We start from the raw sequence: 17,732 nt of genomic DNA, 5'->3' as shown, positions 1-17,732 counted from the left end.
GCCAGGATCCACTGACCCTGGGGCCAGGCAGGAATCACTCTGTTGCCTGGGGCTCAGAAGGCAGTATCACCCATGGTTCCTGTCATTGCTCATGTATTTTGCCTTTCAACAATTATTGAGCACCTACTGTGTGCAGGCCCTGCCTGGACACTGGGGATGCGCAGTGGATGCACTGGGCTCTGCCTTTGAGGGTTGCAGTTTAATGGGTGACAGGTAATTATAAGGAAGAAGGTGAGTGCAGAGTGGGAGGCTTGGAGGCTGTGGGGCTTGGGGTGGGGGAGCTCACATCCAGCCTCTGGGCCAAGGCCAGGAGGCTTCCCAGAGGAGGAGACAGAGCAGGGTATTGTGGTGGGGGGTGTCCTTTTTGGGGCTGGGATCTGCACTTTACAGTTTGAGGGGATGGGCAGAGGAGGCTGGGCTTCATTCTGGAGGTGGGGACATGGTGAGGTGAGGTTTAGAAAGCACACCTGAGCCGCAGTGTGTAGGATGCTGGAAATGGTGGAGATGGGCCTGCGAAGAGAGTGCTGGGAAGTGATGACCCAGGAGCAGCAGCCGGGCACCTAACAATGGGTCAGCACCGTGGGCATGGAGACAAGGGCCGGGATTGATCAATACCCGAGAAGTACAATGTACAGGACTTGGGCTCCATTTGGATGGAGTGGGTGAGGGAGGAGTCAGAAATGGCTTCCGGTTTCCAGCTTGGGCCTGGGGATTGGAGATGTCCCCACTGAGAGTAGGGCACAAGTGAGGAAATTGTTTGGAGAGGAAGATGATAAGTTACATCATGGATGTGCTGAGTCTGAGTTGCCTATGGGACTTGGAATGGGGGGTGGCAAAAGGTGTGTGATCTTGAGCAAGATATTCAACTCTTCTGGGCCTTGGTCTTCTCATTTGTAAAACGGTGATAAGAATATTACTTCCCATTTGTGTTGCTGTGAATATTAAATGCGCTACCACATGTAAAATGTTGAGAATCGTTTCTAGCTCAGAGTAAGTGCTCAATAAACACCATTATGCCTTTTATATGGTCTGGAGCTCAGAAGTGGAAGACAGGGTTTTGTGAAGTCATGGCTTTGTGGATGTAGCTAGATTGTGGAGTAATGGCAGGAGGGTCGGGGGCATGGCACAAGGTAGGTGGTCAAGAGACACTGGACACAACCCAAATGTCCATCCACAGGGGAACAGATACATACACTGCTGCGCAATTGCACATAATAGAATCCTCTACAATAGCAAAAATTAAGGCACAACAGACACCTGCAACAACACAGAAAAATTCTGGAGGCATAAAAAGTAATACAGTAGCTGGGTGTGGTGGTTCACACCTGTAATCCCAGCACTTTGGGAGGCCAAGGTGGGTGGATCACGAGGTCAAGAGATCAAGACCATCCTGGCCAACATGGTGAAACCCTGTCTCTACTAAAAATACAAAAATTAGCAGGGTGTTATGGCACACACCTGTAGTCCCAGCTACTCGGGAGGTTGAGGTGCGAGAACTGCTTAAACCTGGGAGGCGGAGGTTGCAGTGAGCCAAGATCACATCACTGCATTCCAGCCTGGCGACAGAGCGAGACTCGGTCTCAAAAAAAAAAAAAAAAAAAAAGCCTGGTGTAGTTGGGCACCTGTAATCCCAGCTGCTCAAAAGGCTGAGGCAGGAGAGAATCCCTTGAACCCGGGAGGCGGAGGTTGCAGTGAATGGAGATTGTGCCACTGCACTCCAGCCTGGGTGACAGAGTGAGACTGCGTCTCAAAAAAAAAAAAAAAAGTAATACGGTAGACTATATACAGTGTGACACAAACTTGTAGCTGAAAAATAAGCAAAAACACATTCTTTGATATATATATATGTATGTAAGAAAACTACTTTAGAAAAAGAAATAATTCCTACAGGCAGATGGGGAAGAACACAGGAGTAGTACAAGCTATTAATAATTTTCTAGTTTTGGAGTTGGACATTTGTGAGTTTATTATATGATTGTGCTTGATAACATATAAATGTGATACATATTGTTTGTATGAGATATATATATATATATATATATATATATATATATATATATATATATACCCACACACAGATAGATGATTGCTGACAAGGAGTTTCTAAAGATCATATATATATTTTTAGGTAAAATAGAATAACATTCTGCTTCTGGTCTTCATAATAAAAGAGAAATCAGGACTAAGAAATCAAGTGTTTATTATATAGAGTTTTAATTTTTATTCTTTTATTTATTGATTTATCTTCTTTAGGCATGTGCAGAGATGAACTCACTAATTGTTCAAAATAAACAATTTGAATTCAAAGCAAAGTATATTTTTGGAATATCAATTATCACTTATTGCAGATAAATGATAATATAAAACACCAACTTTGGAATTTATTTGTTTTACTTCTGTGACTCTCAGCCTTCTTTTTAAAATATAGTGTATGTTTTAGGTAAGTTCAGACAGCAGCCAGCACTACATTTGGTTTAAAATCCAGCTTTATAATGACTTCATCTTTCAACCAGCCAAAGGGTAGTTACCTTGTGTCTGCCATCGTGCATATGCTCTCAGCTCCTGACTGAGAAAACATGCCTGCAAGCACTTCCCTGCCTGAGATTATATTAAAAATCCATACCTGTGCTAGCAGCATGAGTTCAAGTTGATTATTGTTCTAGATCTGTGACTTCCCATTCATCCTCCTAAAGATATAAATGATTGCTTTTCAATAGACCACATACTTAGGAATGATTATGAAGGCAAGGTTTAGTAACAATAATATACATAGTACTCTAATGGGATTGAATTGGAACACCCACATTAAACTCTCTTAAAATATATGGAGCAGAACACATGAGAGAAAGCAAAAGAACAAGTGCACACAGCAGAGCTGCGAGTTGCATACTCTGTGCATGCTAATACCATCGCAACAACATCACTAAGGCTTCTGGGTAACGTTTGCCACATCATATTGTGACGTGCATTTGTTTTTATATTTTACCCTAAAAGGCAAAATAACTCTCCATGTGATGAAAGAAGGAGCACACACAAAAAAAACCCTCTCAGAAATATTAAAATGGTTGCAGGTAATTCAAATGGTATACTGTTTTAAAAGGTACTTGTCTAACACTTTAAGTTGGAAAAGCATCTTGGAAGTCATTAGATTCATATTTACATTACTTGAATTGTGACCCTAGCTTGACATTTCCATGGTGGGAGACATATTTTATTTAGGAGGCAGCAGTCTATTTAGTTTTTGAGAGCTTAATCGATAGATGGTTCAGATTTTCTACTGAACCAAAATCTAAATGCCTACCCATTGGTTTTCGTAGCCAACGTCAATATCCAACTGCTCTTTCATACAACATGGCTTCAAAGGCTATGTAACTAACATCATGCCACTGCACCTATGTCTTTTTAAAGCCAAGTACCTCTAGTGCCCCTCATTATAGCTCATATTTCAAGGTATCTTTCAGCAACAATGAATTGCATTAATCAAACTCACTTTTTTTGCGTGTGCTTCACTTTATAGCTCTTCACAAATAACACATTTTTCACAAATTGAAGGTTTGTGGCAATCTTGCATCAAGCAAGTCTATTCATTCTATTTTTCCAACAACGTGCTCACCTTGTGTCTCTATTTGACATTTTAGTAATTATCACAACATTTCACATTTTAAAATTATTATTATTATTTTAAATATTTTAACTTTTAGGTTCATGGGAACGTGTGGAGGTTTGTTCTTTAGGTAAATTCGTGACTCAGGGGTTTGATGTACAGATTATTTTGTCACCTGAGTAGTAAGCATAGTACCCAACAATTTTTTTTTCCCTGAACCTCACCCATCTCTCATCCTCCTCCCTCAAGCACACCCTAGTGTCTATTGTGCTGCTCTTTCTGTCAATGTGTTCTCATTATTTAGCTCCCAGTGATAAGTGAAAATAGGGAGTATTGGGTTTTCTGATCCTGTGTTACTTTGCTAAGGATAATGGCCTCCAAGCTCCATCCATGTTGCCGCAAAGGACAGATCTCATTCTTTTTTATGGCTGCATAGTAATTCATGGTGTATATGTACCGTACTTTCTTTTTCCAGTCTACCACTGATGGGAATTTAAGTTGATTCCTGGGTATCTATTACCTAAATTACATATAAAAGCAGAAAAGAAAAATGACAAGTAGAACATGAAAGTTAAACAGTATCTTTTCAGGTTCAATGACATAAATATTCTTATTATCTAAAGGTATAAAGTCTAATGTTTTATTTCCTATAGTGCTTTTATAGCAAAACACTTTTCAGAATTAGATAAACCAGATTGAGGCCCCAGTCTTACTACCTATTAGCTAGGTAAACTTGAGCTTTGGGATTTTCAGATTCAGATCTTGCAGGCAAATAAGATTTATTTGATATTACTTGAGGATGACAATGTCTATCTTGCAGATTATTATGGTAATGAGTTTATTTATGTGGATTGTTTTAGGATATTTTAAAACTATGTACAGACCTAAAAAAATCCTCATAATCTTTGCAGAACTGGGAAGGCATACAGGCATAATACAACTGTAAGAGTTACTGTTTCTCATGCTTTTGTTTTCTAACTGCTCTGGCCACTGTTTTAGAAGGAAGGGTGAATATATGTAAATATTCCTGAAAAAATAAAGTTTTAGAATATTAAATTATTACATATTTCATTCAGAATTTTTTGAAAGGTAAAACCAATGATTGAACGTAGTTCATGGGATGATCTGGTCCATATTCATCTACCATGATTTAACAAATTTTTTTTCTCATCTATTGATGAGGAAAAAATTAAGGGGAAATGTAGAAATGTAAGGTAAATGATCTGCAAAGAAATACACACAGGAGGTATGTGGGAATGTAACAGTGTAGGTCCGCAGGCAAACTAGGTGAAGGAGGAAGGTGAGGAAGAAAGGCATTTAAGACTTACTCTTTCTGTTTTCTTCTCAATTTTAAAGCCTGATGGAATATAATTTTCTCTACAGTAAATGTTGAATGAAAATCAGTTTTGTATGTGTTAATAATGACTTCACCAAGAGCATTTGAAGCTCTGTCTATCATATTTTGATGCTCAAAATAAAACATTGTTTTTATAGCTTAATAGTCTCATACAGTCAATTATTGCCTCCCCTCCAGACTGACACTTTGAACATTATTATTAACACTGCTGTCCTTAAACCATCATCGGCCTGCAGTGCAGACAATTTATTGATAGCTAATAAAACAGTGTTCAGATGCTGCCTGAGGGCAGGATTCAGAATTGTCATACCTATGCATAACCACATTTGATCTTTTGGAACAAGTTCCATTACTTAAAAATTATGGTTTCATTTTCTTATTTTTATATCTAGATTTTAACATTATATGCATGCCTATATAAGCATTAAATATGTTATTCAGTTATGTGTGAGTGTAACTCAAATTTCTTGTAAAGTGTATGTACAGTTTAATATAAGACAGATTATTGATTAGGAAATAGTTAACAATTAATAATAGACATTGGCCAACCTCAATTACTAAACCAGAAAATAAGTTTATTTATTTATTGTATTATTTTTTTATTATACTTTAAGTTTTAGAGTACATGTGCACAATGTGCAGTTTATTTAAATGTATTGACTGTTTTTTAGTCACTACACAAATCATCTAAAAGAAAATACCACAGATGAAACCTGCAGATCCACTAACTAGTTATCAGTTTATCAAGACTGATCGTGTCCACTCCCTTCAGAAATCACATGGATTTGTGCATTATGCAGATCTTTTTTGGTCTTCCCCATCTTTTCCCATCCTGAACTAGAAGTAGAAGCCTATTGCATTTTTATCTGGTACTTTCTTTTGCATTTAGTAGAAATACATACACATACTACCCTAGGCTACTCCGCAGTACATTAAAATTTCCTTTTGCTTTCCAGTAATTTCAAATATCTCAACTAAATATCTCAGTTGAAAAATCAAAGTTTTAATTCTTATCCATCTTTCAACATAAAAACTTTTAATATTGATTATAATGTGTTGCCTGCACTTTTGTTTTTTTTTTGTTTTGTTTTGAGACGGAGTTTCACTGTGTTGCCCAGGCTGGAATGCAGTGGCTAGATCTCAGCTCATTGAAATGTCCCGAGTTTAAGCAATTCTCCTGCCTTAGCCTCCTCAGTAGCTGGGATTACAGGCAAGCACCACCATGCCCTGCTAATTTTTGTATTTTTAGTAGAGATGGGGTTTCACCATGTTGGCCAGGCTGGTCTCAAACTCCTGACCTCAGGTGATCCTCCCGTCTCGGGCTTCCAAAGTGCTGGGGTTACAGGCGTGAGCCACCCTGTCTGGCCCAGCACTCTTAATAGATATATAAATCTTACTCTATTAATTGAACTAAGAACATCTTTATAATTTTCCAAATATCATTTATAATTATTAAATATTAAAACACATTTATTCTGCTTAGCAAACTTTGCATCTCCTCAGAATGCCTAAATATTTTGCCATATGAAGGTTCCAGTGGAAGTTTCAGACAATACATTTTGATGGCAAATGGTGAATTTTCCTATTGAGAAATATGTTGATTACAAGAAATAAGAGAGACAGTAGATTTTCAAAACCTTTTCAAACTATTTCAGATGAATATTCAGAATTATTTTACTTATAGATTGCACTCTTCTAAGGCACTTACATATTCTGACAACTATGTGTTTTTGAAGCAAATTTTGACTGAATTAATAAATGACAGCACAGATCAAAATTTAAAAACTTACAAAATTCTCAATAGATTTCACAATTGTGCAAAGTCCCATGCTTTCTTTTAATATTGTATACTTACTATACTTTTAAGGGGTACTTTTTAACAGTTGATTTATTATCAAATAAACTTTCTATAATTTGACAGAACAACATAAATTCTTGTTTTTCTCCTTTCTACCTAGAACATACATATGATAGTTGAGAAAGACACATATTCTGATCATGAAGAAATAAACACAAGTTAAATATGACTAAGCAGAAAGATGGAAGGACCAGGAACGGTGATGCTAACTTGGAACCACGATGCAGGCTCTAAACTCCTCTACAATCATCCCCCCTTGTGAGAAAAATACGTAAGTCACTTTTAAAATAAATAGAAACCTGAACACACTTCTTAGCTGGTTTAAGTATTTTAAAAACATTGATGAATTAAACACAGAAATATGGGGAAATCTCATTACTTACCTTAAATTTTGAAATTTTCTTTACAGATCATGAGTTACTTAATGCTCTTTCACTCCTGAGTTTACATTGTAAATTAAAGTTATGTCAGCTTTAAAAAATAACCAATTAAAAATAATGATCTAAATTTATACTTTAATTTTAACGAATAGTATTATCTCTTATTATTTACCTCTGATAAAGTCCAAATGTTTGTAGGCCTATAGCTCTGGTTATATACAATGAAATATCTTTCTCATGAGTGTAGAATATCTAGATTATATTTAATGCATTTACTTTTTGAGGAAAAGGAAACCCTTAATAAAATAGCTTCAAATATTTGGTTTTAAAAAATGAGAAAACAAATACATTACAGGACTTTTGGATTTATCACCAACATGTGAAGGGCTCAGAAGTTGTCATTCCTGGCCTTACAATAATAATAATAATAAAAGCTATACAAATTGAAAATCAATGACATTTCCACAGTGGGAGACATATTTTATTTAGGAGACAGCAGTCTATTTAGTTTTTGAGAGCTTAATCGATAGATAGTTCAGGTTTTCTAGTGAACCAAAATCTAAATGCCTACCCATTGGTTTTGGTAGCCAACGTCAATATCCAACTGCTCTTTCACACAACATGACTTCAAAGGCTATGTAACTAACATCATGTCACTGCACCTATGTCTTTTTAAAGCCAAGTACCTCTAGTGCCCCTCATTATAGCTCATATTTCAAGGTTTTCTGTTCCTGCATTAGTTTGCTGAGGATAATGGCTTTCAGCTCCATCCATGTCCCTGCAAAGGACTTGATCTCATTTCCTTTTATGGCTGCATAGTATTCCATGTTGTATATGTACCACATTTTATTTACCCAGTCTATCATTGATGGGCATTTGGGTTGATTTCATGTATTAGCTATTGTGAATAGTGCTGCAATGAACACACACATGCATGTATCTTTATAATAAAATGATTTATATTCCTTTGGGTACATACCTAGTAATGGGGTTGCTGGGTCAAATGGTATTTCTGGTTCTAGGACTTCGAGGAATTGCCACAGTCTTCCACAATAGTTGAACTAATTTACATTCCTACCAACAGTGTAAAAGCATTCCTATTTCTCTGCAGCCTCAACAGTATCAGTTGTTTCTTGACTTTTTAATAATCACCATTCTGACTAGTGTGAGATGGTATCTCATTGTGGTTTTGATTTGCATTTCTCTAATGATTAGTGATGTTGAACTTTTTTTTTGCATGTTTGTTGACCACATAAATGTCTTCTTTTGAGAAGTGCCTGTTCATGTCCTTTGCCCACTGTTTAATAGGATTGTCTGTTTTTTTCTTGTAAATTTGTTTAAGTTCCCTGTAAATTCTGGATATTAGACCTTTGTCGGATGGATAAATAGCAAATTTTTCTCCCATTCTGTAGGTTGTCTGTTCACTGTGATGATAGTTTCTTTTGCTGAGCAGAAGCTCTTTAGTTTAATTAGACCCCATTTGTTAATTTCTGCTTTTGTTGCTATTGTTTTTGGCATTTTTGTCATGAAATCTTTGCCTATGCCTATGTCCTGAATGGTATTGCCTAGATTTTCTTCTAGGGTTTTTATAGTTTTGGATTTTACACTTAAGTCTTTAACCTATCTTGAGCTAATTTTTGTATAACGTGTAAGGAAGGGGGTCCAGTTTCAATTTTCTGCATATGGCTAAAGTTCTTCCATAGTTCTTCCAGCACCATTAATTAAATAGAAAATCCTTTCCCCATTACTTGTGTTTGTCAGGTTTGTTGAAGATCAGATGGTTGTAGCTGTGTGGTCTTATTTCTGAGTTCTCAATTCTGTTCTATTGGTCTATGAGTCTGTTTTTGCACCACCACTATGCTGTTTTGTTTACATGCTGGTTTGGTAGCCTTGTAGTGTAGTTTGAAGTAAGGTAGCATGATCCCCCCAGCTTTGCTATTTTTGCTTAATATTATCTTGGCTCTACAGACTCTTTTTTGTCCATATGAATTTTAAAACAGATTATTCTAATTCTGTGAAAAATGTCAATGTTAGTATAAGGGGAATAGCATTGAATCTATAAATTACTTTGGGTAGTATGGCCATTTTAATCATATTGGTTCTTTCTATCACTTCCCTTCTTAGCTGTATTCCTAGGTATTTTATTCTCTGTAACAATTGTGGAATTGGAGTTCTTTCATGATTTGGCTCTCTGCTTGTCTGTTGTTAGTGTGCAGGAATCCTTGTGATTTTCACACATTGATTTTTTATCCTGAGATTTTGCTGACAATGGGGTTGAGACAATGGGGTTTTCTAGATAAAGGATCATGTCATCTGCAGAGACAATTTGGCTTCCTCTCTTCCTATTTGAATACCATTTGTTTCTTTCTCTTGCTTAATTGTTCTTGCCAGAACTTCCAATAATATGTTGAATAGGAGTGGTAAGAAAGAGCATCCTTGTCATGTGCCTCTTTTCAATGAAAATGCTCACAGCTTTTTCCCATTCAGTATGATATGGGTTGTTAGTTTGTCATAAATGGCTCTTAATATTTTGAGGTATGGTCCTTCAATACCTAGTTTATTGAGAGTTTTTAAAATGAAGGGATGTTGAATTTTAACATGAAGTGTTGTTGAAAGGCCTTTTCTGCATCTATTGAGATAATTATGAGGTTTTTATCTTTAGTTCTGTTTATGTAATGGATTACATTTATTGATTTGCATATGTTGAAACAGCCTTGTATCCCGGGGATGAAGCCAACTTGATTGTGGTGGATAAGCTTTTGGATGTGCTGCTGGATTTGGCTTGCCAGTATTTTATTGAGGATTTTTGCATCGATGTTCATCAGGGATATTGGCCTGAAGTTGTCTTGTTTTGTTGTATCTCTCCCAGGCTTTGGTATCAGGATGATGCTGGCCTCATAACATGAATTAGGGAGGAGTCTCTCCTCTTCAATCATTTGGAATAGTTTCAGAAGAAATAGCACTGGCTCCTCTTTGTACATCTGGTAGAATTCCACCATAATTCCATCTGGTCCTGGTCTTTCATTGGTTGGTAGGCTATATATTACTGCCTTAATTTCAGAACTTGTTATTGGTCTATTCAGGGATTCAACTTCTTCCTGGTTCAATCTTGGGAGTTTATGTGTCCAGGAATTTATCCATTTCTTCTAGATTTTCTAATTTATTTGCATAGAGGTTTTTATAGTATTCTCTGATGGTTGTTTGTATTTCTGTAAACTCAGTGTTCATATCCCCTTTATCATTTTTTATTGTGTCTATTTGATCTTCTCTCTTTTCTTATTAGTGTAGCTAAAAGTCTATTTTGTTAATTTTTTTCAAAAAAACAGTTCCTGGATTTGTTGATTTTTTGAAGGGTTTTTCCTGTCTCAATCTCCTTTAGTTTTGCTCTGATCTTACTTATTTCTTGCCTTCTGCTAGCTTTGGGGTTTGTTTGTTCTTGGTTCTCTAGTTCTTTAAACTGTGATGTTAGGATGTTGACTTGAGATATTTCTGATGTGGATATTTAGTGCTATACATTTCCTCAATGCTGTTTTAGCTGTATCCCAGAGATTCTGGGACATTGTCTCTTTGTTCTCATTAGTTTCAAATAACTTCTTGACTTCTGCCTTAATTTCATTTTTTACCCAGTAGTCATTCAGAAGCAGGATGTTACATTTCTATGTAGTTGTGTGGTTTTGAGTGAGTTTCTTAATTTTGAGTTCTAATTTGATTGTACTGTGGTCTGAGAGACTATCAAGATTTTAGTTATTTTGCATTTGCAGAGGAGTGTTTTACTTCCAATTATGTGATCGATTTTAGAGTAAGTGCCATGTAGCTCCAAGATGAATGTATATTCTGTTGTTTTTGAATGGAGAGTTCTGTAGATACTTATCAGGTCCACTTGATCTACAGCTGTTTGAGTCCTGAATATCCTTGTTAACTTTCTGTCTTGATAATTTGTCTAATATTGACAGTGGGGTGTTAAAGTCTCCCACTATTATTATGTGAGAGTCTAAATGTCTTTGTAGGTCTCTAGGAACTTGTTTTATGAATCTGGGTCCTCTAGAATTGGGTGCATGTGTATTTAGGATAGTTACCTCTTCTTGATGAACTGAATACTTAACCATTATGTAATTCCCTTCTTTGTCTTTTTTTATCTTTGTTGATTTAAAGCCTGTTTTCTCAAACACTAGAATTGCAACCCCTCCTTTTCCTGCTTTCCGTTTGCTTGGTAAATTTTCCTCCATCTCTTTATTTTGAGCCTATGTGTGTCTTTGCATATGAGATGGTTCACCTGAATACAGCACACTGGTGGGTCTTGACTATCCAGTTTGCCAGTCTTTGTCTTTTAATTGGGACATTCAGTCCATTTACATTTAAGGTTAATATTCTTATGTGTGAATTTGGTCCTGTGATTATGATGCTATCTGGTTATTTTGCAGACTTGTTAATGTTGTTGCTTCATAATATTATTGGTCTGTGTACTTTACTGTGTTTTTGTAGTGGCCGGTAATGGTTTTTCCCTTCCATATTCAGTGCTTCCTTTAGGAGCTCTTGCAAGGCAGTCTTGGTTGTGATGAATTCCCTCAGTATTTGCTTGTCTGAGAAGGATTTTATTTCTTCTTTGCTCATGAAGCTTAGTTTGGCCAGATATGAAATTCTGAGCTGGAAATTCTTTTCTTTAAGACTGTTGACATGAAGTCCTTGCCCATGCCTATGTCCTGAATGGTAATGCCTAGGTTTTCTTCTAGGGTTTTTATGGTTTTAGGTCTAACGTTTAACTCTTTAATCCATCTTGAATTGATTTTTGTATAAGGTGTAAGGAAGGGATCCAGTTTCAGCTTTCTACATATGGCTAGCCAGTTTTCCCAGCACCATTTATTAAATAGGGAATCCTTTCCCCATTGCTTGTTTTTCTCAGGTTTGTCAAAGATCAGATAGTTGTAGATATGTGGCGTTATTTCTGAGGGCTCTGTTCTGTTCCATTGATCTATATATCTGTTTTGGTACCAGTACCATGCTGTTTTGGTTACTGTAGCCTTCTAGTATAGTTTGAAGTCAGGTAGCGTGATGCCTCCAGCTTTGTTCTTTTGGCTTAGGATTGACTTGGCGATGCGGGCTCTTTTTTGGTTCCATATGAACTTTAAAGTAGTTTTTTCCAATTCTGTGAAGAAAGTCATTGGTAGCTTGATGGGGATGGCATTGAATCTGTAAATTACCTTGGGCAGTATGGCCATTTTCACGAGACTGATTCTTCCTACCCATCAGCATGGAATGTTCTTCCATTTGTTTGTATCCTCTTTTATTTCTTTGAGCAGTAGTTTGTAGTTCTCCTTGAAGAGGTCCTTCACATCCCTTGTAAGTTGGATTCCTAGGTATTTTATTCTCTTTGAAGCAGTTGTGAATGGGAGTTCACTCATGATTTGGCTCTCTGTTTGTCTCTTTTTGGTGTATAAGAATGCTTGTGATTTTTGTACATTGATTTTGTATCCTGAGACTTTGCTGAAGTTGCTCATCAGCTTAAGGAGATTTTGGGCTGAGACAATGGGGTTTTCTAGATATACAATCATGTCGTCTGCAAACAGAGACAATTTGACTTCCTCTTTTCCTAATTGAATACCCTTTATTTCCTTCTCCTGCCTAATTGCCCTGGCCAGAACTTCCAAAACTATGTTGAATAGGAGTGGTGAGAGAGGGCATCCCTGTCTTGTGCCAGTTTTCAAAGGGAATGCTTCCAGTTTTTGCCCATTCAGTATGATATTGGCTGTGGGTTTGTCATAGATAGCTCTTATTATTTTGAAATACATCTCATCAATACCTAATTTATTGAAAGTTTTTAGCATGAAGGGTTGTTGAATTTTGTCAAAGGCTTTTTCTGCATCTATTGAGATAATCATGTGGTTTTTGTCTTTGGCTCTGTTTATATGCTGGATTACATTTATTGATTTGCATATATTGAACCAGCCTTGCATCCCAGGGATGAAGCCCACTTGATCATGGTGGATAAGCTTTTTGATGTGCTGCTGGATTCGTTTTGCCAGTATTTTATTGAGGATTTTTGCATCAATGTTCATCAAGGATATTGGTCTAAAATTCTCTTTTTTTGTTGTGTCTCTGCCTGGCTTTGGTATCAGAATGATGCTGGCCTCATAAAATGAGTTAAAGCAATGGCAACAAAAGCCAAAATTGACAAATGGGATCTAATTAAACTAAAGAGCTTCTGCACAGCAAAAGAAACTACCATCAGAGTGAACAGGCAACCTACAAAATGGGAGAAAATTTTCGCAACCTACTCATCTGACAAAGGGCTAATATCCAGAATCTACAATGAACTCAAACAAATTTACAAGAAAAAAACAAACAACCCCATCAAAAAGTGGGCGGAGGACATGAACAGACACTTCTCAAAAGAAGACATTTATGCAGCCAAAAAACACATGAAAAAATGCTCATCATCACTGGCCATCAGAGAAATGCAAATCAAAACCACAATGAGATACCATCTCACACCAGTTAGAATGGCAATCATTAAAAAGTCAGGAAACAACAGGTGCTGGAGAGGATGTGGAGAAATAGGAACACTTTTACACTGTTGGTGGGACTGTAAACTAGTTCAACCATTGTGGAAGTCAGTGTGGCGATTCCTCAGGGATCTAGAAGTGGAAATACCATTTGACCCAGCCATTCCATTACTGGGTATATACCCAAAGGACTATAAATCATGCTGCTATAAAGACACATGCACACGTATGTTTATTGCGGCATTATTCACAATAGCAAAGACTTGGAACCAACTCAAATGTCCAACAATGATAGACTGGATTCAGAAAATGTGGCACATATACATCATGGAATACTATGCAGCCATAAAAAATGATGAGTTCATGTCCTTTGTAGGGACATGGATGAAATTGGAAATCATCATTCTCAGTAAACTATCGCAAGAACAAACAACCAAACACTGCATATTCTCACTCATAGGTGGGAATTGAACAATGAGATCACATGGACACAGGAAGGGCAATATCACACTCTGGGGACTGTTGTGGGGTGGGGGGAGGGGGGAGGGATAGCATTGGGAGATATACCTAATGCTAGATGATGAGTTAGTGGGTGCAGCGCACCAGCATGGCACATGTATACATATGTAACTAACCTGAACAATGTGCACATGTACCCTAAAACTTAAAGTATAAAAAAAAAAGACTGTTGAATATTAGCCCCCAATTTCTTCTGGCTTATGGGGTTTCTGCTGAGGAGTCCACTGTTATTCTGATGGACTTCCTTTTCTAGGTGACGTGGCTCTTAACAATTTTCCTTCATTTTGACCTTGGAGATACTGACAATTATGTGTTTTGGGTTGATCTTCTCATGGATCTTACTGAAGTCCTCTGAATTTCCTGAATTTGAATGTTGGCCTGTCTTGCTGGGTTGGGGAAATTCTCCTGAATGATTTCCTGAAGTATGTTTTCCAACTTGGTTTCATTCTCCTCATTTCTTTCAGGTACCCCAATCAGTTGTAGGTTTGGTCTTTTTACATAATTCCATAGTTCTCTGATTATTTTTCATTCCTTTTCAGTTTTTTCTCTAATCTTATCTGCCTGTCTTATTCCAGCAAGATAGTCTTTGAGCTCTGAGATTCTTTCCTCTGCTTGGTCTATTCAGTTATTTATGCTTGTGGTTGCATTGTGAAGTTCTGGTGTTGTGTTTTTCAGGTCCATCAGGTCATTTATGTTCCTCTATAAACTGGTTATTCTGGTTTACAGTTCCTATAATGTTTTCATGGTTATTAGCGTCTTTGAATTGTTTTAGAATATACTTTAGCTCAGCAAAATTTGTTATTACCCACCTTCTGAAGAATACTTCTGTCAGTTCATCCACCTCAAGCCTCCACCCAGTTCTGTGCCCTTGCTGGAGAGGTGTTGCAATCATTTGGAGGAGAAGAGGCATTCTGGCTTTTTGAGTTTTCAGCATTTTTGCATTGATTCTTTCTCATCTTCATGAGCTTATCTATCTTCGATCTTTGAGGCTGCTGATCTTTGGAAGGGGTTTTTGTGGGGCCATTTTTGTGGATGTTTTTGTTGTTGTTGTTTTCTGTTTGTTTGTTTTTCTTTCAACAGTCAGACCCCTCTTCCTTAGGGCTGCCGCAGTTTGCTGGGGGTCCACTCCAGACCCTATTCACTTGGTCCCTCCCCTACCTGGAGGTGTCACCAGTGGAAGCTGCAGAACAGCAAGGATGGCTGCCTGCTCCTTCTTTTTTGAGCTCCATCCCAGAGGGGCACTGATGTGATGCCAGCAGGAACACTCCTGTATAAGGTGCCTGGAGACCCCTGTTGGTGGTCTCAATCAGTTAGGGAGTATGTACAGGATCGGGGACCACTTAACAAAGCACTCTGGCTGCCCCTTGGCAGAGAGGGTGCACTGCACTGGAGGGAATCTCCCTTGTCCAGAATGTCCAGACCCTTCAGAGCCAGCAGGCAGGAAAGACTAAGTCTGCTGAACCGCAGAGACTGTGGCTGTCCCTCCCCACAGGAGTTCTGCCCAGGAAGATCAGAGTTCTGTCCATAAACCTCTGGCTGGAGTTGGTGAAATTCCCACAAGGGGGCCCCACCCAATGAGTAGGGATGGATCCAGGTTCCACCTAAAAAAGCAGTCTGGCCATGATCTGCCACAGCTGCTGTGCTCCCGGTCTAAACCTCCCTGTCTCCCCAGCACCACCAGGGGAAAACAGCCAACTGATGCCACAGTGATAGCAACCACCCCTTCCCCTGGGAACTCAGTCATCTTAGACAGTCTCCAGTCTGCTGTCACTGGCCACAGCCTGAGCGGTGATGAGAGTCTGCACAGCTCTGTGCTTGGCACCCAAGGCCCTGGTGGTGTGGACTCACAAGGGGATCTCTTGATCTGTGAGTTGCACAGATCCATGGAAAAAGCATGGTTCCTCAGGAAAGGGAGCACAATCACTCACTGCCTCCCTTGACTGGGGGTGGGAGTGCCCCTTGCCCCATGCAGCTCCCAAGTGAGGCATTGCTCCACCCTGCTTTTCCTTGCTCCCTGTGGGTCAGGCCAATCACCTTGTCACTCCCAGTGAGAGAATCTGGATACCTCAGATGAAGGTGCAGAATTCACTCGCCATTTTTGTTCTTCTAGATGGGAGTCACAGACCACAGCTGCTTCTAATTGGCCATCTTGGCACCTCCTCATTTAACCTTCTTTTCTCATCTAAAGGGGATAAAGGATGAAACTGTCCCAAAGAAAAGTTTATAAACCAATTAAGGGAGAAAATAAAATTCAACTAGGCTTGCAGAATAATCAGTGGCAATCATGAAATCCACTTCCCAATTTGGCCTACTTCCTTGTAGCTAGTTACTTCTTACTCCCCCAAGATAGTGTAGCCCTTGTCACAAGAATGTGTTCCTTTTCTTTTCTATAGATAAGATCTAAGGCACATGAGATGATATGCTTTCTGTTTGAGTTTCTCCTTTATGTTACGCATACTGATAAAATTGTTGATGCCAGTTGATCTGAAGGTCCCAGCAAGGAGCCGACTCACAGAAGAATGCAGTTTTCACATCATGATGATTTAATCTTCCTTGACCTGAGCAATTGACAACCCCAATTCTCCAGAACCTCACCCGCCACAATCCCCTTAAAAACCCTGGCCCAGAACCCCTCAAGCAGACAGATGTGAAGCTTGAGGATTCCTTCATCTCTTTGCCCAATGGCATTGTGATTATTAAACTCTTTTTCTGCTGCAAATTATGATGTCTCAGTGTATTGGTCTATTGCTGCTCAGTGGGCATATGAATCTGGCAGTCCTGTAATAGGGACAAAAGATAAACTACTGGCAAAACACTCGTAAAAGTCATAACCTAAGACATAGGCCCACTGAAAGGCGGATATTCAATCAGAGCACTGTAGAACATATTTCTCTGCTCATACCATAAAATTTAAACCAACATGACTCCAATATAAGGAGACAGACAAAAGAGCTATAAGAAACAGACACTGTTTGAAGATGAGTACTTAAGGAAACCTAAAGTTAAGGGAGGAGACAAAAACAAGGACACTAGAGGAATTTGAAACCTTCAGAAACTTGAGCTATAACAAATATTAAATGCAGTTCAACTCCAAGACAGATTAACATATATCCTCAATTAACTTTATCTCAGTATCAATTTATCTCAGCATCAATTTATCTCAATATCTATTATGGATACCACATGTCTAGCTCTCAACAATGGCAACAAAATTACAAAACATGGTAAAAGGCAAGAAAAAAATTAACAATCTGAAGAGACAGGATGATCATCAGAACAAGACTCAGTGATGATGATGCATATTTTGGAAATAGCAATCAAGAAATTTACATAACTATGATTAAGATGTTAAGGACACTAGTGGAAAATGTAGAAAATATTCAATAAAAGATGATTAGTATAAGCAGAGAGATGAAAATTCTAACAAAGAACCAAAATAAAAGGCTAGAAATTAAAATAACGCCAATAGATTTTTTTAAAATGCTTTCAATGGTTTCATTAGTAGACCAGACAT

At 38.0% G+C, this 17,732-nt stretch overlaps 1 long non-coding RNA gene across 3 annotated transcripts in view; it reads left to right on the top strand.

Annotated features, from left to right (window-relative positions):
* Window positions 1-16,940, top strand: part of LOC124902160 (uncharacterized) — a 35,296-nt gene extending 18,356 nt beyond the window's left edge. For all 3 annotated transcript variants that reach the window (XR_007061499.1, XR_007061498.1, XR_007061500.1), the window contains 2 exons: window positions 6,920-7,090; window positions 15,318-16,940. This is a non-coding gene — a long non-coding RNA (uncharacterized LOC124902160). The remainder of the gene's footprint in view (window positions 1-6,919; window positions 7,091-15,317) is intronic.
* The last annotated feature ends 792 nt before the right edge of the window (window positions 16,941-17,732 follow it).

Source organism: Homo sapiens, chromosome 9 (assembly GCF_000001405.40).
Source record: "Homo sapiens chromosome 9, GRCh38.p14 Primary Assembly".
Taxonomy (NCBI): Eukaryota; Metazoa; Chordata; class Mammalia; order Primates; family Hominidae; genus Homo; species Homo sapiens.
The sequence above is the reverse complement of the archived record's forward strand: the minus strand, read 5'-3'. Positions and strand labels throughout refer to the sequence as shown.